Here is a 24,635-nt window from a genome sequence, read left to right on the forward strand (position 1 = left end):
ACATGGCACATGTATACATATGTAACAAACCTGCACATTGTGCACATGTACCCTAAAACTTAAAGTATAATAATAATAAACAGGTTAAGAGAAAAAAAAAACAGAAGAATTTGCTAACAAATATGTGTGTGCTGACTGTTCAAAGTAAATTATATTTAGATTATTTTCAACACATTAAACTTATGCATTTATTCAAATTAACTCAAGAAAATTCAGATCTAATTCATATCTTTGAAACCACATAGATGTGAACTCAATGTGGATGTAAAATGCTGCCCAACTAGTCATCAGGGTTACCTAGCTCTAATCGGGTTCTCTAACATATTATACTAGTTCTTTCAGAGTGTGGTCCCTGGATCAGTAGCATCCACTTTACCAGGGAACTTATCAGCCATGCAAACAATCGGCCCCCCTTCCCAAGCCTACTGAAGTAGAAACTGTTGGGGGTGGTGGTGCTAGGGGCAGCAATACGGATCTTAACAAGACCTTCTAGAGACTCCAATGCACACTAGTTTCAAAGTCACTGTATTGACACAAAGATCTTTTAAATAACAACTATTTCATAGTGCTCCCCTTATTAGCCTAAATTTTATAAATGACGTAACTTACCCATATAAATTTTTGAATCAATATAATACCTTAGCTGTGTAATGCCTAAATAAAAGTAGTACAATAAAATAATCTTAATTTCTCTATATTAGCATTCAGGCATGATGACACTTAGAGATTCTGAAGTATTGAAACAATTGAACCAATCACCGTGAGTACAACAGCTACACATGCAGAGAAGGAGGGCAGTGAAAGATTCTTGACAAAAATATCATGATCACATTACTGATGTGATACAACTGAGTAACTCTGGGAAATTTTAAACTACAAAGAAATACAATCCTCAATCTTTTATCAATATGTACAATAGTAGCACTCCTGGAAAATCAGTGTATACTACAACTGCCAAAAAATGTGCGTGTGTGTTTATATGTAAAATCAAATTAGTCTCTATGCTCCAATTAATATAAACAGGTTCTCTCCTACACAAATGTCTGGTGAGGAATTTAAAATTCTTGCAGGAAAAATACAATCTTTTATATTGCAGGATGGATAGCATCTCACACACTAAATGCCTGTGGTTAATCATTGGAACAAGCATAAAAACATCCCCCAGCATTTTTAAACATTTCCTAACAGTAAGTATGAATGCCTTTGAGAACACTGAAAACCAGACAGTCTGGACTGATTAAGTTGGTACACGTTCCCTTTCTTGTTAGGATGCATACACGTTTCCAGGCGAGGTGTGCTCCATCTCAAGAAACAATTCCACTTTCTTAGTAGAGGAGAAACTTACTGATTCAGACAATATAAGGAATTTTCTGCCCTGCTGGATTCTTTTTGCAAAATTTTTATACTCTAAAATATTCCTAAATATTAGCTGGTGGCCTCTTATTTTATTGACCTTGTCATGAAATTACCTGCATATGATATAGTAGGCCATTTTTCTCAATTATCATATATGTTTATATTAAGCACTTAGTTAAACAGGTAGAAAACTGTAAATAAGCAAGATTTCTTCAGCCATCTGCCTGTAAACAATAAAATCTGTGTGTAAACAAAAAAATTAGATAAAAATCTCAGGAAAAGAATTAAGTTTGTAGATGGTAATTAAGCATTCTAGATTCTTCAAGTCAACTTCCAACTCTGAAAGTCTACAGTTCTATGAAAAGGTCCTTTGGACAGTATAATGCCAAAGTAGATTAATGCTGATGTATGGTTTTGGTAGTGATGATTAGAATAGTGTGATGACTGGCAAACCTCAAAATAGAAAGTCTTCATTCTTATGTAAGTAAATTATCTTACAAAAAAGCATGTACAGACAAGCAGTACTTAGCAAAAATAACTCTAGGAAGTGCTTTAGACTTATATATTGTTTTGATATTGTGTGAAGGACCATTTCTCCACATACAATAACTGGATAAATAACAGCTATGGTAAAGGGGAGAAATTTAAAATGGTTACAGTAAGAATAGGTTTGGTTTAATGAAGGGATAAATACTGAGCATTAACAATTCATTAGATTCTATTTAAGATGTAGCTTTATTTATGACTTGTGTTGGGCAAAGTAAAATTTATGCTTAGGTTTAAGCCAAAATTTCTATACATCCTCTATTGATAAGGGAAACACTCCTCTATAAAGCATCAATATTAGCAAATGTACATAAAAAATACATGATATTGAGATACATATTTACAACAGTAGTTACAGCAAGTAGCTTGAATGAAAATTTTAGGAGAATGCCACTTGTCTTGTCTTGAGATAATGTGTAATAACCATGGTACAATGGGAAACAAACAAACTAAGATCATCAATCAAATATGAGAAGGCTTCCTCAAATCCAACACTTTGGGACTAACCCCAATCTGTAACAAGCCTCCCAAGAAAGGCATTCATAATAAAAAAACAAAAAAAGCAATATTTTCATTCCTTATTATCTGAATTGTATTCAGCACATTGTCTGTGGCAGGCACTGCCATGTGCTTTTGAAAAAAAAGAAGTTAACAAAATGTGTAAAGTCCCTGTGTCCATGGAGCTTCCATTCTAACTCAGGATGGGAAAAAATCAGTAATAGGTCAGGTACAATAAGAACTGTAGGAATTAACAGGCTATGTGAGGGGGATATAGAGTGACCAGAGTGATATTTTATAGCTGGTGTTAATTAAATCTTCCCAATAATGCCCTAAAGCAAATAAAGAGGGTTCATTTGAGTGTAATCGAGAAAACTAAAGCTCAGAGATGATTACAGGAAGTAGCAGACTCAAGACTAAGTCCCAGCATTCCCAACTCAATCTTATACTCATTTTATTTTATCACCCTGCCTCTGATTGGGAAATTATGCTTATCTGAAGAGTTCTTAACAAAGCAAAATGTGGGGGAGGTCAAAGCTGTAGGCAACCACTTTTAAAAACACTGGACAGCAAAAACAACTTAAGCCATCATAAATTCCCACTAATTAAAATGTTGCTAAGTGCCCTGATAATTACACCGATAACTGTGCCAATCCACTCTTCTAGCCATTTGTGGTCCAGCTTTTCATCTATCATATTCTAAAGATTACTCCTTAAGCTTATCAATATCTTCTCTTGTTCTTTTTTATTCTTACACAATATAGTAAAAGCACTTCACATTAACATAATAAACACAATAGCAATCTGTTGCCATAACTCATGAAGTATTTTATGATTTTAATACATTTGGTTTATCACAATTTTTATTCATCTCTAAGATAAATAATACCTATACCTATTACTGGCTGTTAAATTAATCTCAACAAACAGGTAGAGGGTTCTTGTAAAAGATTAATATTTAGTTAATGAAAATTTGAAGCACCAACATCAAAGACAGAAGTCCTAATACAAAGCACTAAATGCTTAACATCTTAAGAGAGAAGTTCAGAGAACCTATAAAATCTAAGTTCTCAGAGGAGGGAATGTTATAAGCCTCCCCCTTGAGAAGGCTCCCTCCAGTGCATATTGAGAGGAAGTTGGACAATAAGAATTTCCTTCAATTCTAACAGCAAGCTTTAAAGTTCTCCCTTTCTTATTCTCCTAAATCAAGTTTTATGTTCTGCCTTGAATTCATTAACGCCTGTGTTTATATCTGTCAGGTGAAGCTTGGTCAGAAAAGGAATTTACTAAAAGGATACTGGGTGGTTGCACTCTTAATCCACAAATGATCTCTAACTACTCAATGCCTTCCCATCAGTAACTTCACATTCTGAATCTGCTCAAGAGCATCAGTTGACTAAGCCTAGGCCCCTAAAGAAACTCTAGTTGCCAGGAAGTGAAGAAGGAGAGGGAATATCTGGCCACCTTTAGCTTCCATAACAGGAATAACTACCAACATTCAATGAGGAATGCTACAAAGGGGGTAGAATGTGAGCAGCCAAAAAACCCCTAACAAATATCCACTGTAGCATGCACAGTATTTCAGTATTTTTTTCTCAAAACGCTGAGATTCTAGAGAATAGTAATCTTCCCCATTGTGCTTAGCACCATACCTAGCACAAATAGGAGCTCAATAAATACTAAGTTGCTTTTATCATATTATTCCACTTTAAACCCTTAAGGTCAAATAATCCACTTCTTAGCCACCTCAATCTCCATTCACTGACAACTGCCAAGTCATCTTTTGTTCTTCCTTCTTCCTCACTCCTGTTATTTAGTCCATGGCCACAATTGATACTACCTCTTTTAACATCTTGCTCATTCATTCCAATCCCTCTTCCAACCTACCACAAGAGTGACTTTCCTAAAAATACAAATCTGCATAAAATCCATCAATCCAACTATTGTTATCTTTGTCCCTCAGAGGCAAGAGAATATCTCATACCTTGAAGCCTTCAGTCACAGGTCCTCTCATTTTCAATACTCCCAGCAGCCTCTTCGGTGACAGGTGCACATTCAACCCTCAAGACAGGTCAAGCCTCACTTCCCCAGTGTTACTTCCCATCACCAGTTCGACCTTTCATTCAAAAACAGTAAAAGCCCTCTGATCCCATGGAATATTGAAACCCATATGTAACACATTTTTAAGAGATGGGGTGTCACTATGTTTCCCAGGCTTGCCTCTAACTCCTGGGCTCAAAGAATCCTCCTGCTTCAGCCTCCCAAGTATCTGAGACTAACTACAGATGTGCACCACCGCACCCTGATTGCAACCTGTATGTAACTTTAATATTGCATTTGCCTTGTTTCCTTTGCTCGACTAAAGATGACTTTTCTTTCATGTATGAAACCAGAGTTCAAGTAGAATTGTTAGTGGACAGAATTGGATTAAGTATGCATAAACAAGAGTAACTAAAAAGAATAGAGCCTCTAATGTTCAACTGTATTTGAACAAAAGGAATAAGCCATTCTGCTGAATAACTATAACTACAAATTAGAAAATATCAGGTTTTCAATGAGAGAGAATGTTATCATTTTATTAGGTTGGTGCAAAAGTAATTGTAGTTTTTGTTATTGCTTTTAATGGCAAAAACTGCAATGACTTTTGTACCAACCTAAGAGTAGCATTCTTATTTAACCCACTCTCCTCCACTTGGTATTACAAGGAAAACAAAAGGTGGAGGGCTAAGAGGGAAGAGAATTCATGGTCAAATGAACTAAGGAAAAATAAATAAGCTTCTTTACTATTTGCCAAAGTTTTTAATATACTAAAGTACCCTATGAGTGGTCAGAAGGTGACCTCATATGCAGCATTTCACAGACTTATTTGGCCATGGAATCTTTTTCTCATGAAGTGTTTGTGAGCCTGGAGTTCTGAGGTGTATTCGTTAGCAAATATTATTCTACAGCATAGAACTATAGGAATCTGAAAGGAATACGAAAAACTAAAGTAAAGTTCAACCACTTCCACTCTGGCACATATGACTTCATTACATGAAATAATATATTGTACAGCCATTAAAAAAAATTTGAATACTGTCAACTAAATTGTTTCCATCGAAAAATTTTAAAAACCTTGGGCCAGGTTATTCATGATAAAGCATGGATGTCTGATCCACCTACACAGTTTTACAACCAGGAATACTGAATCTGCCCTGCTATTCACTTTGACTCTCCCATCTCTCTCCCATATAAGGTATCCAAGAGTGATAAGCTTGGGAATAATAACCAAATAGGAAACAAAATATCCCATCATTATTAGTTGAGCCAGAAACCAATAATCCCTCACCAGCCATATCATAACCCATGATGGAGTGCACAATCTAACCCTCCTACATTCCCCTGTAACAGCGTCCTGTATGTTGCAAGTGACAGAAATAGACCTCAACCTGACTTAAAGAAAGACAGGAAATACGTAGGACCTATAAATGAAGATTCCAGTGCTGGTGCTTTCTTCAGCTATGGTTTGATTCAGAGTTTCAAATAATCTCATCAAGATTTGTTTCCTCTGCATATCTCAGCTGTCCTTTCCCCTGTCAGTAAGCCTCATCCTCATGGTGTATCTCATTGGCAGCAAAAAGGTTATTCTCACCTCTTCACACTCACAAATCCAGTAGAAGAAAGATATAAACTAGTTTTTCCCAGAAGCCCCAGAAAAATTTCTCTTGTGTCTTATAGCTTTGATTGGGTTGCATGCTTATCTGTTAATCCAGCGAGATAGACAATGCTTGCTGGATTAAACCAAGGGGGCTCATTCTCTTTAAAAAGTATTCTCAGCAAACTATCGCAAGAATAAAAAACCAAACACCTCATAGGTGGGAATTGAACAATGAGAGCACTTGGACACAGGAAGGGGAACATCACACACCGGGGCCTGTTGTGGGGTGGGGGGAGCGGGGAGGGAAAGCATTAGGAGATATACCTAATGTAAATGACGAGTTAATGGGTGCAGCACACCAACATGGCACATGTATACATATGTAACAAACCTGCACGTTGTGCACATGCACCCTAGAACTTAAAGTATAATAAAAAAAAGAATAGACATATAAAAAAGTATATATATATATGTATATCTTATATATATGTGTGTGTATATATATATACATATGTATATCTTAAAAGCAGGACTGAGTTCTGATCAGCACCCTCAAACCAGACTCTTGGTGTTTAACAGTCTGTTAGGTTTAGGCTTGATTGTGGAGAGGGACAAGTGACAAGGACAGCCACGTTTAGGCTAACCTACTCATTCTGTGCATGAAGAAGGGAAAAAAAAGGAACAGAGCATGGGCCCTGCCTTTTAGCATGCAGTGGTTCTCAACAATTTTCTTAGATATTGACTAGTCAAATTAACATACTTCCACCTTAAGAGAAGGATAAGGGAAAAAAAAGGGTGTAAGCAGGGAGCCCTAGAGGCAGTACTGCAGTGAGAGGGGACACATATGTCCCCTCCCCAACAAGAAATGCTAGGATTATTTTTCCCTACTGATTTTTTAAAAATTCAGAATAAAAATATCAAAACCTTGAAACTTTTTTTTATTTTTTGAAATTTTAAAATAAAAGTAAAAAGGGATGATGTTATTCACAATCTGTTTTATGAGTTTTAAGGTCAAATGCTAATTATATTTTTCTTATGACTAATTTTCTGCATTGTATTAATAAAATGACTACAATTCTAAGGGTAGGCCGGGTGCGGTGGCTCACACCTGTAATCCCAGCACTTTGGGAGGCCAAGGCAGGAGGATCACTTGAGGCCAGGAGTTCGAGACCAGCCTGGCCAACGGGGAGAAACCCCGTCTCTACTAAAAATACAATAATTAGCCAGGCGTGATGGCATGCACCTGTAGTACCAGCTACTCGGGAGGCTGAGGCGAGAATCCCTTGAACCCAGGAGGCGGAGGTTGCAGTGAGCTGAGAGTGCGCCACTGCACTCCAGCCTGGGTGACAAAGCGAGTCTCCATCTCAAAAAATAAAAATAAATAAATAAAATAAAATAATAAAAATAAAAACAAAAAATTTAAGGGTCTCAATGTATCTGAAAATATTAGTTAATTAAAAAAACAAATATGTATTGCAAAGTTAGACTCTCACCCCCTGGAATGCTACAGTATTCACAGCACAACAAATATACTACACACGTTATCCCTCGGCCTTCAACCCTTAGATTTAGAAAGCAAGCCCACTCTGATTTAAACTCCTTTGTGTGAAAGAAGAGAATATTTATGCTGCATTGTACTTCAACTAGAAAAGAAATCACCTGCTGCAATTTTGATAGCCTCAAACAAGAATGGTTACCGTAAGAAAAGAGTTGTGGAAGACATACTTTTATTTTCTTCTGTCAAGAAGAGCAGGAACAATTCAAGATCTTTCCACTCACATATGGCTCTACGAGAGGAAGAACAAGTACATTTTGCAAGGCAAAAATTTTATGTTTTGTTAATATTGATTAACAAAACTATAAAAGATAATTGGTGTCCAAGTCCCTGTAAGGTTAAAATAATATGCAAAATATGTACCACTTATTACAAATTCAGAGTTAATTTTCAAAATCATAGACAAGTACAAGCTGTGGAAAAGCATAAGCATGAAATCAGATTCACCCAGGGCTGCCAAAGAACACTTCTAGGAGCCCATGGTAACAGAATTATCTCCTGGCAAAGAAACTTCTGGCAAGGATATGAAGCTGGTAATGACGAGGGAAGAACTGCTTCTATGCCAGCCCCACTTCTCACTCTATCTGTTAGATAAGTGAATGGGTATTCAGAGCCACAGTGATGGCTATGCTACTCTATGAAAGCTCTCTCCCCCATCCTGACCTGGTCACCTATACCAAGCCATGCCAAGAATCTAGAACTCCCAAAATTTTCTATGTTTTCTTTAGGCTACTGATATCATGGAGATTCTACAATTGTTCACCCGAAATTCTGAGTAGTGTTAATGAAAAAATTATTCAATGACACGTGTTAAAGCATGGTAAGAAAGACTTTACTTAGGACCATTGTGACAGGCATAGGGACCACTGCAACAGGGTCTTGCAGTGGGGTATAAGGCAAATACCCTATTCCAAACTCCAAAAACAGCAGCGATGAGTGAAAATTTACAGCCAAAAAGCAGAGTGCAGGTCAATACATGAGAAACTAGTAAAAAGGAAATATTAGGGGTAAGGAGAATTCTGCTTAAACTGACCAAATACCTCTCAGTAGGAGTTTTGGCCACCCTATCTAAAATAGACTATGCATCAACCTCTTATTTCTATTCTATAGCTGATTTATTTTCTTTGTCAAAGAAAAACCAGAGCTGGATAGTAGTTAACATGGTAAAAAAAATAATAATAATAACAGATTTAATTTATGACAATTGCAGTAGAGAGAAAAGAAACATCAATAAAGAATCAGGCTCAATTCTGAATACAGCATAGGCAAGTGGGAATTCATAGCCAAGGATCAGGGTCAGGGTGGTCAGTGAATAGAAAATCACTGAAGGGAAACATCAGCAGTAAGGAGGGATTCTGGCTAAACCAACCTAATAGGAATCTTGCTCAAGTCAGACCAGGGTGCTGAGACCACCAGAACGAAAGCACCATTGTGCACAGACCCTTTAGCTTTTTTCATCGCTGTATGCCTCACGCTAAGCAGAACTACTGATACATGATGAACACTCAATCAATGTTTTTGAATGAATATTTAATTGAAGAGTGAGACTTAAAGACTATTAAAAAATATTAACTGTATGTTAAAATACAACAATATTAAAAGTATGTTTTTCTACCTCTATTTTGTTAATTTGACATTGCCTCAGTTTTTTTAATTTGACTTAATCCTTTACAATTATAAAAAATAAACTGTGATGGCTAGCGAAAGGAACAGTGCCTTTATTTCATAAGGACTGCAGTAATAATAATTTAATGGGAGATGACAATTTTGAACTACCAAATATTTAAAATCTAACCTAAAGTTTACTTTTCAAATCACAGTGGAATAACTAGCTTTGCTTTCATCCAATAATATTGTAAATGTCTATGCCTAAGAATTTTTACAATTTTCCTTTCCAAACATGCATACAAAAGAATTGGAATTTGAGAACCTCTGCTTACTTTGATTCAAAAAACAGTTCAGAGCAGTGTCTCAAAAAAATTTTAATTTTTTTTTTAAATCTGATACATTCAATCAATTATATTGATACATTCAATTAAGAGTTGTAGAATTCCTAATGAACCACAGGAATTAAAAATTTTTTTAAGTAGAAAATAAGATACTCTTTGGTTTAGAAAGCATTTATTTTCTTTATTCTGTCCTTTGGCAAGTATAATGTTTGAGAGTAGCACTATCTAAATTACTCCATAAAATATTAACCTTAAAATATGTTTGATGCAGTTTAAAGCAATAATTTTTGTCCAGTAGACACAAATATTTACTGACTTCACGTCTGCTGAATTTAGTTATCCACAGACAAACATGGAAGATATTTCTTAATATCCCCCAAATCACGATTATTACTTCATCTTTTAAACATAACTATTCAGAATCAATTTTTTCTAAAAGCCTTAATAAAATTTTGACATATCCATTTTGATGATGAGAACATGTCAATTCATTAAATAAACAGTTTACTTTTGTGGCCCCAGTGTCTAGAGTGATGCCGGAAAAGAGTAGTATTCAAAAAATATTTGTAAAAATAAATAAAATTACATAAATATTTACTATACCAAACAATGATACAATTTAGGGTAATATAAGTAAAGAATTTTAAGGTGTTGCCTACACTTTTGTGTGTGTGTGTGTGTAACCTGCCAGTTCTTTATTCCTAAGGTCTTGAATGTGTTTGTCACTTGTTTTCTTCATAATGTCTTTAAATGCATACGTTTCTCTTTGTCTCACAACCCCTGAACTAACCTGAATACCTCAGTCCTCTTTACTCTTGTACTTACCACAAGTTTCATCTTCTATCCTACTATTTAAAGATATTGAGTTTATCTTTCCCAGACCACATTTTCTTCCTAAGAGTTACCTTCCCAGGAACCTAAAAGGCATCCTATTTCTCATCAGACTAAAATCAAACTCTTAGAGCTAGGAAAGAAAAACCCTACATTTGTCTTCTTTTCTCATTCTCTTAAATAAAATGTTTGTCATTGATAACTTCTGCCACCTCTCTGGGCTTTAGTTCTCCTAGAAAATGTAGAGAAACTAGAAATTGGGGAAATTGAGGAGTGGCATGGTCCTACAAATGTGAAGGTATAGTAACATAAGTCCACGAAGTATGTTGGCAAAATAGTAAACCATCTCACCTGGAGAGGTGAGGATGGAAACAGTGAAATAGAACATTGGAAAGTTGGGAAGACCAGAGAGAAGAGGATTTAGAATACTAGACAGAGAGCTATGTACACTGGTCTATAAACAGTAAGATCTTCAAAGAAGGGGTGTTACTCGTATTCATCACTCCATTCTCAGGAGTGGGGGCTCTTGACTGAAGCATCCAAAAAGAGCACACAAATGGATCATTATACAGGAGGTGGAAGTGTTGGTTAGAGTTGTGAAGTAAACCAAAGTTCTATTCTTCTTCCTAACTAGTGCCTTCTTTCTTCTCAAGGGAATCCTTATTTTTGAAAAGGCAACAGGGCATGGACACAGTTTAGCTGAATAGAAGCCTAGAGAAAAATCAACTCTGCTCTTCCCATACGGGTATACTAAGAGGAGCTCTTAAGATTTGTCTTTTGAGCTGCTAGGCTCACCAGACTAAAAAGGCAGCTAGAGATTAAAGTGTATGCATAGCTTATATCTTGGGAAGGAGAAAGAAAGAAAAGGAAGGGATAAAGGAAAAGAAAAGATGGAAAGAAATAACGAAGAAAAAAAGAAGAATGAAAGAAGGGAGGGAGAGAGGAAGGGAGGGGAGGAAGAGAAAGAGGGAGAGAGGAAAGAAAATTACCAATATCAGGAATGAAAGAGACCACCTCACTACAGATTTTATGGACAGTAAAAGGAAAATAAGGAAATTGCAGGATATGAAGAAGATATTACAAACAACTTTGTGCCAATAAATTTTGCACCTAAATGAAAGGGGAAATTCCTAAATATCACATGAAGAACATTTTTAAAAATTGAGTAGTTTTATATTAAATTTAAAAATTTCAGTTTGTAATTAAAACCTTCCCAAAAGGAAAACATTGGACCCAGATAGCTTCAATGGGGAATTATATTAAACATTTCAGGAAAAAATAGTAACTATCATCCAGAAACTCTTTCAGAGAGTAGAGTATTAGAAAAAACTTCCCAATTTATTTTATTAAGCCAGAATTATCCTGATTCCAAATCCAAACAAAGATAACACAAGAGAACTGCAGACCAATACCACTTGAAAACAGAGACTAAAACTGTAAAAATAAATTAGCAAATCAAATTGAGCATTATGTAAAAAGGATTATATATCATTACCAAAGAGATGTTTGTCCTAGGAATGTAAGATTTATTTAACATCTGAAAATTAATCAATGTAATTAGCCATATTACTTGAACAAAGAGAGAAAACCATAGATAGGCATACCTCAGAAACATTGCAGGTTCAGTTCTAGTCTACCACAATAAAGCTAACATAATAAAATGAGTTACACAGATTTTCTGGTTTTGCACTATGTATAAAAGTTATGTTTACACTCTACAGTAATTTATTAAGTGTGAAATAACATTATGCCTAAAAAACAACATAGATACCTTAATTTAAAAATTCTTTATTGCTAAAACATACTAACGATTATCTGAGTCTTCAGAATCATACTCTTTTTCCTGGTAGAGAATCTTTCTTCAGTGTGATGGTTGCTGAGTGATCAGGACGGTGGTTGCTGAAAGTTGGGGTGGTTGTGGCAATTTCATAAAATAAGACAAGAATGAAGTTTGCTGCATCAATGGACTCCTCTTTTCACAAAAGGTATCTCCGTAGCATGTGATGCTGTTTGATAGCATTTGACTGACAGTAGAACTTCTTTTGAAATTGAAGTCAATCCTCTCAAACTCTGCCATTGCTTTCTTAACTAAGTTTATGTACAAGTTTATATCTGTTATTGTCATTTCAACAATGTTCATAGCATCTTCACCAGAAGTAGATTCCATCTCAATAAACCATTTCCTTTGCTCATCCATAAAAAGCAACTCCACATCCATTGAAATATTATTACAAGATTGAAGTAATTTGGCCACATCTTCAGGCTCTATTTTTAATTCTAGTTCTCTTGCTATTTTCACCACATCTGCAGTCACTTTCTCCACTAATGTCTTAAACCCCTCAAAGTCATCCATGAGTGCTGGAGTCAACTTCTGAACTCCTTATGTTAATGTTGATATTTTGGCCTCCTCCCATGAAACACAAATGTTCTTAATGGGATTTGGAATAGCAAATCCTATCCAGAAGGTTTTCAATTTACTTTGCTCAGATCCATCAGAAGAATCACTATCTGTGGCAACTATAGCCTCATGAAATGTATTTCTTAAATAATAAGACTTGAAAGTCAAAATTACTCCTTGGTCCATGGCTTCAGAATGGATGTTGTATGAGCAGGCATGAAAACAGCATTAATCTCCTTTTACATCACTAGCAGAGCTCCTGGGTGACCAGATGCATTGTTAATGAGCAGTAATATTTTGAAATGAATCCTTTTCTCTGAGCAGTAGGTCTTAACAGTGGGCTGAAAATTTTCAGTAAACCTTGCTGTAAACAGATGTACTGTTATCCAGCTTCATTGTTGCATTTCTAGAATAGAGGCAGAGTAGATGTAGCAAAATTCTTCAGTGCTCTGGGATTTTCAGAATGGTAAATGAGCACTGGCTCTAACTTAAAGTCACCACCTTCATCAGCTCCTGACAGGGGAGTTACCCAGGCTTTTGAAGCTTTGAAGTCAGGCATTGACTTTTCTTCTCTAGCTATGAAAGTCCTAGATGGCATCTTCTTCCAATAGAAATCTGTGTCATCTACACTGAAAATCTGTTGTTTAGTGTAGCTACCTTCATCAATAATCTTAGCCAGATCTTCTGGAAAACTTGCTGCAGCTTCTCCATCAGCATTTGCTGCTTCATCTTGCACTTTTATGTTAGGAAGACAGCTTCTTTCCTTAAACCTCATGAACCAGCCTCTGCTAGCTTCAGACTTTTCTTCTCCAGCTTCCTCACCTCTCTCAGCCTTCATAGAATTGAAGAGGATTAGGGCCTTGCTCCGAATTAGGCTTTGGCTAAAGGGAAAGTTGTGGCTGGTTTGATCAACTATCCAGACCACTAAAACTTTCTCCATATCAGCAATAAGTCTGTTTGGCTTCCTTATAATTCATATGTTCACTAGGATAGCACTTTTAATTTTCATCAATACTTTTCCTTTGTGTTTACAACTTGGCTTACTCTTTGGTGCAAGAGGCCAAGCTTTCAGCCTATCTCGGCTTTCACTGTGCCTTCTTCACTAAACTTCATCATTTCTAGCTTTTGATTTAAAGTGAGAAACATGCAACTCTTTCTTTCACTTGAACATTTAGAGGCCTTAGAGGCCATAGAGGTCATTGAAAGGTTACTAATTGGTCTAATTTCAATATTGTTTCAGGGAACAGGGAGGCTAAGGAGAGGAAGAGAGAGAGAGGGAATAGCTGGCCAGTAGGAGCAATCAGAACACATGTAACATTTAAGTTCTCTGTCTTATTTACATGTGGTTGGTGCCCCACAACAATTGCAATAGTAACAACAAAGATCATTGATCACAGATCACCACAATAAATATAATAATAATGGAAAAGTTTGAAATAGTGCAAGAATTATCAGAATGTGAGAAAGATATTAAGTGAAAACACGCTGTTAGAAAAATGGCACTGGTAGACTTGGTCAACAGAGGGTTCCCACTAACTTTTAATTTATAAAAAGCACAATATCTGTGAAGTGCAGTAAAGCCAAGTGTAATGAAATGAGGTGTTTATAGAATCATTTCAGTAAATTTAGTGAAAGAATTTGACAAAATAGACCAACATTTCATAATAAAAGCTGAGAAATCTAGAGCTTAGCAGGAATATCCTTAACCTGATTAAGTGCAGCTATGAAAAACTACAGCTAACATCAAACTCAATGGTGTTAATCTCAATGCTTTCTAGCATTCTAAATGTTCGGTATAATTCAATTCTCCAAATATTAATTGAGCAGCTATTCTCTAGCAAAAGCTATTATAGAAATAGCTATTTAACAGTAAACAAGAAGACAGTTCTTCCTCTCTAGGAACTTATAGTTTAGTAAGAGAGAGAAATAGGAAATTTCAATAAAGATATGATAACACTGTGAAGTCAGTAAATACATACAGGAAGCTATATATTCAAAGTGGAGGGGCCTCCACTACTGTCTTGCAATCCAGGATTTATTCTGAAAGTGGGTTTCTGTACATTGAGATCTTAAGAATGGGAAGAAGTCATCCTGTGAAATGAGGGTAGATGCAAGAGACAGTATGCACTGTTCATGGGACAGCAAATAGGTACTATATACGAACACAGTCATGGAGTGAAGAGAATCTCAACTGTGTTACAGAACACTTAGAAGAAAGGTTTTGCACAAGGAGCATTAGGCTCAATCCAGTGGGAGATGACATTTGACTTCACATTTTTATAGAGATACTATGACTATTTTGATATAGCAATTTGTTTTTCATGAATTACCTTGTCTGTGTTCTAAGTGATTTTTGTGCTTAACTACTGCATGTAGGTGGAATAACATTTCAAATAGTTAAAATTATATACACTTATCTAAAAAACCGAGAGTAGGCAAATGACAATCTTCAAAATTTAGTGAACTAAATTTTTTAAGTGGTAACATGAAAGTCAACTTGCTCTACAGACCAATACATTTATATCTAGAGCAAAAATATTATCTAAAGCCATCAGCTATAATCCATAGTCATGTGGCTTTAGAACACTTAGAAGTTATAAAGAAGAGATACATTTCAATAACTGTTTATTTAATAAAATGGATAATATATCACAAAGGTATTATATGTCAGGCAGATGAAAAATATGAATAAGAAGCTTTCCCTATGCCTACCACAGAATTGACCTCACCTAGTCCCACAATCATTAGATGTTCTGAAGAACCTTTTATACACAGTATAATTATTGATGTTCTCACAAGAAGCCCAATTATAATAAAGCAAAATACAGAAGTCTCTTGAATTATGACTTCTCAAATTTTGACTAAAATGAAACTAGTTTTTGAGTGTAGGATAGAAGGTAAGGTAAAAGTTTTCTAAGTGTTTCTTCTCCAAGATATACCAACCCAATTCCTTTTACCTATTAAGATGCTATGTACTACACACCACTTTATTACACTGTACTTTGGAAAGAGAATTTTTACGTTACCATTTCCTTCTTTTTTAAGAATTTTTTTGTAGAAAAGTTTCTTGAATAGGAATAGTGTTCCAACTCTTCAGTGAATGTCAACAAGAAAGTCAATGGTTCAGCAATACGGTGGCTAAAAGAGTTTCATAAGACACTCTTCCTCTAAACTTTTTTATTTTAAAATCCATTTAGAAAGAGAAAATATTTCCAAAAGGGGACAGAATGTATAAGGAACTCAAACAACTCAACAACAAAAAATTCCCAAATAATCCCATTTAAAACTGGGCTAGGGCAATGAATAGACTATATTTTTAAAGAAGACAAATGTCCAACAAGCATATGAAAAAATGTTCAACATCACTAATAATCAGATGAATGCAAATTAATATCACAATTAGATACCATCTTACACTAACGAGAATGACTAATATTAAAAAGACAAAAAGTAACATGTTGGAGAGGATGTGGAAAGAAAGGAACTTAAAACACTGTTGGTGAGAATGTAAATTAGTACCACCTTTATGGAAAACAGTATGGAGATTTCTCAAAGAACTAAAGAAGGAATGACCATATGATTCAGCAGTCTCACTACTTGGTATCTACCCAAAGGAAAAGAAAAATCATTATATCAAAAAGATATCTGTACTTGTCTATTTATCACAGAACTATTCACAAAAGCAAAATATGAAATCAACCTAAGTGGCCATCAATGGATAACTGGATAAAGAAAATGTGGTATATATACACAATGAAATACTATTCAGCCACAAAAAAAGAATAAAATCATGTCTTTTGCAGCAACACGGATGGAACTGGAGACCATTATCCTAAGTGAAACAACTCAAACACAAAGACAAATACTAAACGTTCTCCTCATAAGTGGGAGCTAAATTATGTGTACACATTGAAGCAGTGTGTGGAATGGTGGACAATGAAGACTTGAAAGGGTATGAGGGATGAGGAGGGGTGAATGATGGGAGGTTGCTTGGTGGGTACAAAGTGCATTACTCTAGTTATGGATGCACTGAAGACTCTGACTTCATGACAGTGTAGTACATCAATGTAGCAAAATTGCACTTGTACCCATGAATATATACAAATAAAAAAGCTCATTTCCACATAATCAACTCTAGCTCAACTGCTATTAAATTCACAGACCTTCTAAACAAAATCTGATTTGTCATTTCTCACAGTAAAGATTTTCTTTAGGCAAAAAGAAAAACAAAACTTTTTTTAAATAAATACATTTAGAGCCGGAGAAGAACTTCTTTAACATTAAATCCTACCTTTAGTATCCAGACTCATACATAAGCTTTTTAAAAATTTTATTAATTTTTTTTTTTTAAATTTTTTATTTTATTGTTATTATACTTTAAGTTTTAGGGTACATGTGCACAATGTGCAAGTTAGTTACATATGTATACATGTGCCATGCTGGTGTGCTGCACCCATTTAGCATTATTTAGCATTTAGCATTAGGTATATCTCCTAATGCTATCCCTCCCCCCTCAACCCCACAAGATGGATTAAAGACTTAAACCTTAGACCTAAAACCATAAAAACCCTAGAAGAAAACCTAGGCATTACCATTCAGGACACAGGCATGGGCAAGGACTTCATGTCTAAAACACCAAAAGCAACGGCAACAAAAGCCAAAATTGACAAATGGGATCTAATTCAACTAAAGAGCTTCTGCACAGCAAAAGAAACTACCATCAGAGTGAACAGGCAACCTACAAAATGGGAGAAAATTTTCGCAACCCACTCATCTGACAAAGGGCTAATATCCAGAATCTACAATGAACTCAAACACATTTACAAGAAAAAAACAAACAACCCCATCAAAAAGTGGGTGAAGGACATGAACAGGCACTTTTTTTCTTTTTTTATACTTTTAAGTTCAGGGGTACATGTGCAGGTTTGTTACATAGGTAAACGTGTGTCATGGCAGTTTGTTGTGTACATCATTTCATCACCCAGGTATTAAGCCTAGTATCATTAGTTATTTTTCCTGATCCTCACCCTCCTCCTACCTTCCACCCTCTGATAGGCCCCAGTGTGTGTTAATTCCCTCTATGTGTCCATGTGTTCTCATAATTTAGCCCCACATATAAGTGAGAACATCAGGTATTTGGTTTTCTGTTCCTGCATTAGTTTGCTAAGATAATGGCCTTCAGCTCCATCCACGTTCCTTCAAAGAACATGATCTCATTCTTTTTCATGGGTGTATAATATTCCATGGTATATATGTGCCACCTTTTCTTTATCCTGTCTATCACGATGGGCATTTAGGTTGATTCTATGTCTTTGCTATTGCGAAAAGTGCTACAGTGAACATACATGTGCATGTATCTCTATAGTAGAATGATTTATATTCCTTTGGGTATATACCCAGTAATGGGGTTGCTGTGTCAAATCGTATTTCTGCCTTTAAGTCTTTGAGGTATCACCACGCTGTCTTCCACAATGGTTGAATTAATTTACAATCCCACCAACAGTATATAAGCGTTCTTTAAATTCAATATAAACATTTTTTGGTGTGTATATATTATGAACCTACTTTGTGTAAAGTGATGGGTAACCATGAAGAGTAAATATTTACTTGGGTCTAGGTATTTTACTATGATGAAAGTTTTACTCTTTCGCTTCAGCTAAGAAAGGCTCTTTCAGAGTGAGAAAAAAAGTATTTGTAAACATGTTTATCAAATGAAAGGACCCAACAGGAATGCCTCAGGCGTCATGTGCAGCAGCAAAGTAGGCTATTCAGCAGTGGAGAAGTCATTTACTCAAGGAGGCCAAAAGCTGCCCTAGAAGTAGAGGATGCACTTTGGGGTCCAACAAAATGCACCAAAATTGAACATGGACTCCATTCATAATTAGCATGTGATCTTGATCAAGCCACTTAACTCCTCTGAACCCTGGTATTTTTTAACATATAAAATGCACATTCCTAATTTTTAAGGATTTGTGAGAATTAAACGAGATTATTATAAAGCACATAGTAGGTGCTTATTAGGTCAGTCCTCTTGATGATATATACAAGTTCTATCAGGTTACTGCTTTTCCTCAATAATACAGAAAAAAGATAGAATATGAGGACAATTATATATACATAAACCCTAATAAAACTCCCTGGCTTACTCTTTCCAAAAAGATTAAGGAGAAGACGATGACCAAGAACACTCAACTGCCCAAGCTGATGCTGTAAAGCTCTACTTACACAAAGACAACATAGAATTCCAACAGAAAAATAGAATTTATGTAGAAAACTGGGCTAAGACATACAGAAATTAAAACTCCTCACAAAAGAGAAGATAAACACTGCCACAGTCTCTCTCTAAATGGGAAATGGATCATGTCTGAGAGAAAAGAGTCAGTGTGGCTTGACATCATTCTGGGGTATCCCTTGTCACAGCACTTTTAGAGGTAGCTCTCTGTGTTTCTCTTTAGATAGCTTTTTCTCTCATCTCAAGGACTTGTCTATACCTTCTTGAAAAAGTAAAGTAAAAGCTTAGACACTTTCAGGAGCCAAGTAAGAAGTTAGAGCCTTCCACTACTTCAACAAGCATGGCAACAATGGACTTCAGGAATGGGATGTCTTCCACATCAGCACTGTCAAGATGAGACCTCAGGAAAAAAGACCAAGATGAGTGCCATCTGGGACAGCAGCAACAGGTGCAGACTAAGGCCATCAGGTGATACAGTGTTGATAGCCCCACTAATGGAGGCAAGACAGGTTAAGAAAAGTGAAGAAATTGAGGGTCTCCCCATTCCTCTGCCCAAACTCTTCAAATCAGACATTGTGTTTTATATACAGTATCTCACTGAGGGGAATAAATTTGCAAACTGAGAAGTGATTTATATTCCAAGCAGCTCCAAAGGGCTGGAATCCACAGCCAGACTATATGCTTTACCATTCTCATTATTACTTTAATAGTTTGTTATTACCAATATATTCTGGGAGAGCTAGGGTTATAGTTTTTGTGACTGAAATTATCTCTTAGGAAACAAGCACGGGCTATTCATTCTTTCTTCCAACATTAAGGACCACAAAACACTTCTCAAACATACCAGATTTTTTTGTCAACTCTCTTGCCTTTAATGAAGTTAATATACAACTTCATTTTATTTCACTCATTAAAACTGTTTTATCAGTTTCCTTAGGCCATATACTCAGCAAAAAGTAGTAGAATGGAAATGGAGCCCTTTCAAAATCCTTAACTGCTTGTTTACCAAAATGTTATACAATGAATTTCTGTTCACTGGTTTCTGAGATAACATAGTTTTTAACATTGTTTTTAAGATAACACAGAAAAAGTTTTGAGGAGGTAGGATGTTGATAAAAAATTAAAACTAGGTGCACTTAAGGCTATATGAGAAAAGAACAAATGTTTAAATTTTTTCTCCAAAAGAACATATTAAAAGCTAAATTTTATACATGAGCACAAAAAGAAATACTATATTAATTTTAAAAGGGTTATTTTTATATTGTGACCAATTTTCATTTAAAGGTGAAATATCACAACAATAAATATGTATGTTCTGTATCCACAGGTTGGTTAACTATTAATTAGAATTAATTATATTTTTAAAATTAAGGCTGGATGGGGTGGTTCACACCTGTAATCCCAGCACTTTGGGAGGCCAAGATGGGTGGATCACTTGAGGTCAGGAATTCAACACCAGCCTATTCAATATGACAAAACCCCGTCTCTACCAAAAATACAAAAATTAGCCAGGTGTGGTGGTACATGCCTGTAATCCTAGCTACTTGGGAGACTGAGGCAGGAGAATCACTTGAACCCAGGAGGCACAGGTTTCAGTGAGCTGAGATCCCCACTGCACTCAAACCTGGGCAACAAAGCGAGACTCTGTCTCAAATAAATAAATTAATTAAATAAAAGTAGTGTTACCCATCTTAGCATGTTATTTCATAATGCACACATTATTTTGATTAATAGACAGTACACTGCTTTGCTGATTAGGACATTTACTGAGTGTCAAAATTAATTCTGATTTAATAAAATTAATGTGGAATGTTGCAGGATAGCAAAAGTAGAATCAAAGCTTATCAGAATTAAATAACACTATTTTTCTAGTTTTCTAATTTTCAGTGATCCATTTATTTGAAAAGGAGCTTGGGCAAGTTTACCCTGAAAATGAAGATACAGAACTGGAATATAGTAACATAAAAATGAAAGAATAAAAGACCAATAATAAAAGTGACTAGGAAGCAACAATTATATAAGAAGGTTTCAATTTTTTACATGGCTAAGGTTTTCATAAAAAAAAAAAAAAACTCTGAGCTTCCTGGCAGCCAAAGTAAACAGGGAAATGTTATGCATTATACATGACACATTTTGCCTCATGAAAGAAGATACAACAATAAATCAAAAGAAAGATGTTTATTCTAATATTTAAATTCTGTTAAGAGTTTGTCATATGGGCTATGACATCAAAAAACAAAAGGAACAGCATAATAATTCGTAAGTCAAAGGCATTCATGGATTTCCATCACTTCAAAAGAACATCAATAAGAAGCCAATATATCCTATATTGAGAACCTATAGCAGTAAGTGTACTGCGGGGTAATGCAAAATAATTCATATATGTAGCCTTCCAATTATCTGACTCATGTTGAGGGTAAAAGAGAAAAATGTAGTCTGGTTAGCATGTCTTGGATTATAACTTTCATTAAGTCAACTAGTATTTATTGATTATAATAGCTGCCATTAATTGACTATTTACTGGGAACAAGTGACTATGACAGCTGCTTTAAACACTTGACAATTTAATTATAACAGTCCATTTCAATCAAGGCAAATGAAGAAATTGAGGCTCAGAAAGGTCAAGGAAAGTTCCTTGAGTCACGTAGTGAATGGTGAAATTGAGATGTGAATCTGGTGTGCTTGGCTTCAAAGACAATGTTGTCAACTTCTCTGCTGTCCTGCCTCCACATATGGTAAGTGCCATGTTCTAGAAAACACAGCGTGTAGGGTTGAAGGTTAACTGGCATTTGTTTGAAACTGCACACAAATTTTCACATATTTAATTTCATGCCACAAAACAAATCCTAGACATAGAGAGCATTATCACAGTGATCTCCATTTTGCGAATAAGAAAACTGAATCCAAAGATGCATAAGATTGCATAGTTACGGTAAACGACACACGAACTCACTCAAAGTTTGAAAGCCCAGAGCCCTTTCATGCTTTTGACAGAAGCTGTATGATATAGCTCACAACCCAATCACAAAAACATCATTCAAGTGATGCACGTCTCTTTTGTGGAGGACTGGGGGATCTTCATTCTCTAGATTCCAGGTGTGTAGGAAGAAAAGGTGGGATTTTATTGCAGGAGCCATGGAGCCTGACTCACATTCTTGCCGTGACAAAGGACAGCTGCATGTCAACATGGAGTAGAGCTGAAAGAGTAACTGCAGGCAGAGATGAAACTCATCTCAAAAAGAAGCAGCTCAAACCAGTATACACCAACGTGAAAACGATCCATTGCTAAACTTTTTTTGTTTCTTTGATGAGTGTTTCTTTTAAGTAGAATTTTGAAAATAAACAGGTAACTCTAAAGATGTATTTCTTTGTGTCTCGATACTTGCTATAATCCCCAAAACACCAATGGAATTTTATAAATTTTCAACCATCTTGTTCAATACATTTATGATAAAACATCCATTAGGTATTTCTGAGTCAAATACTGAGCTGGTTATTCCTGCTATGCAGAAAAAAAAAAATAGTGCTCTATCATTCTCTTGGATTGGCAGTGAATTCCTGGAGCACTGCATTGAGGACAATGTCCAGCCTCAGTAGGACAAGGTGCTTTAATAGATGAACAGTATCTTACCTGGGCTGAGAATGGGGAAACTACATATGCAAGCCACATATATACCACTCTTATTTCAGGGGCACCTTCATACCTACTGTATTTCCTCATGTCATTTATCCCTGCAAATACCTTTTAGTTCAGACCAGGTTTTAATTGGAAAAATCACAACACAAAAGTCAAACATAGTACCTGGACTGATCATGTCTGGATATCACTGCCAATACATTTGTCCTGCTGCCTCCAAAATTTTGTGCAATTTCTTGGCTAGCACAAACTCTTTTCTTAGTGTGTAAAAGTTGACATTTTTCTATATAACTTTTCATGCCCCAGATCCCATATTTGGAGGCTAATAGAGTGAACACTTCACATCTCTCATCATGCAAGAAATGAAGGGGTTATAAATCTAGCTTATGACTTTAAAAAGGTTACTAGACCCCTTAATCTGGCCTTGGGTGACTTGACTATAACAACATTCTCTTCTCAAAACTAAAATTATAATGGCACAATGTCTGAAAAATGACTCCTGTCCTGTTGTATTATTTTTATATACCATCTTGCTTCAAAACACAATAGATATGATTGATGATATTCCCTTATTAATCCTGTTTAGTTAGAAGTGAGGAAAAAGGATAAAAGCCTTACATATCTCAAATGCAAATATATGTGAATATTAATCCTACAAATGGATAATCCTTTTAGATCATGTTTATAGAGCAGTCTATATAGAAAGTGTTAGGATTTTCTTAGACAAACTCAAATCAGGAAAAGTGAACTTTACTTCTATAAAAATCAGCAATTGTAGGCATCTTAAGGATGCATAAAAGCAATATGCCTGTCATTACATTTACTCCCACTCAAAAGTTCACCCAAAAGATAGTTATGTTGACAGCTTACCACGTTGGCAATCATAACAATTCTTGGATAAATTTGGGCATTACAAGTTATGTTGAAATGTGAAAGCTCTAATTTAACCCCTAATTAACAGAATCATTGATTTCAAACTCACAGATATAATTTTACCCTCTTCTTCATAAAAAGGAAAAATAGGGAAGAAAGGCAGGCAGGCAAGAAGGAAGGGAGGAAGGAAGACAGGCAGGAAGGAAGACAGCCAGACTTAGGACACATGACTGATTTTGATCTAGTCCTAAAGGATAAAAATGCGTTAATGTGCAGATTGTGACAACACTAAAGACTGTAAAAAAAAAATTAAAAGATAAATATATATAGCATTTCAGTCTTTATCATATTCTGCCTCTAGTATTTGTTGAGCACATAATAAAGTATAAATCATACATAATAGAAATAGTAATTATTGTACTATATAAATACATATCTTGCATTACAATTTCTTGCTTTTACTTATTTTATTATCAAAGGTCCTGGTAAAAGACTTTACCTGCAGAAGTCATTTGATTCTTTATGTACATAGGAAGAAAGGACTAAGTATGAATTCTGTCCTGTTGTCAATGATAAGCTGTTGAAAATTATTCTATCATATCTGTTTCATATGGAGAACAAAACTTCCTAAAATATCATAGTACCAATTACTTTCCTCTCTCAAATACAAGGGACTTTTTCTATTAAACATTCAGCACCATTATGGTGAAGAACAGTAATCACAAAAACAAACAAATGGACAAAAAAGCTTTACCATCTTGATCAACAGTGTTTTCAGGTATGACTGCTAAAGCAAAGAAGAGTTTCTTTATGACAAAAACAACAATTTTCTACCAAAGAGAATCCAATATCATATTCTCTCCCAATTACAAAAATATGCTACTAACTCATATATGGTCAAATAACACTCATTTTATTTAACTCCTAAAACACAACGGTATTAAGTGCCAGAAACTGTACATGGTGATTAAAACCTACAGTTGGAAGCAATCGCATCATATATAAAGAACATATTTAAAGTTCAGAGAGCCCAGCCTGTTAGAGATAGCCACCTCCTTGAAAGGCTTTCTGAAAAATGGTCAGTTAACAGAACCAGAAATACAGTCGGCCTACTGTATCTCTG

General features: G+C 35.4%; 1 protein-coding gene across 17 annotated transcripts in view; it reads right to left on the reverse strand.

Annotated features, from left to right (window-relative positions):
• Nucleotides 1–24,635, reverse strand: part of PDE1A (phosphodiesterase 1A) — a 576,757-nt gene that overhangs the window by 315,795 nt on the left and 236,327 nt on the right. The window contains exon 3 of one of the 17 annotated variants that reach the window (NM_001395265.2): nucleotides 7,763–7,824. The exons of the other annotated variants lie outside the window; for them this stretch is intronic. The gene's annotated coding sequence lies outside the window, so the exon portion shown is untranslated. The remainder of the gene's footprint in view (nucleotides 1–7,762; nucleotides 7,825–24,635) is intronic. 17 annotated transcript variants of the gene reach the window in all.

The sequence above is a fragment of the Homo sapiens genome, chromosome 2 (genome assembly GCF_000001405.40).
Source record: "Homo sapiens chromosome 2, GRCh38.p14 Primary Assembly".
Classification (NCBI taxonomy): domain Eukaryota; kingdom Metazoa; phylum Chordata; class Mammalia; order Primates; family Hominidae; genus Homo; species Homo sapiens.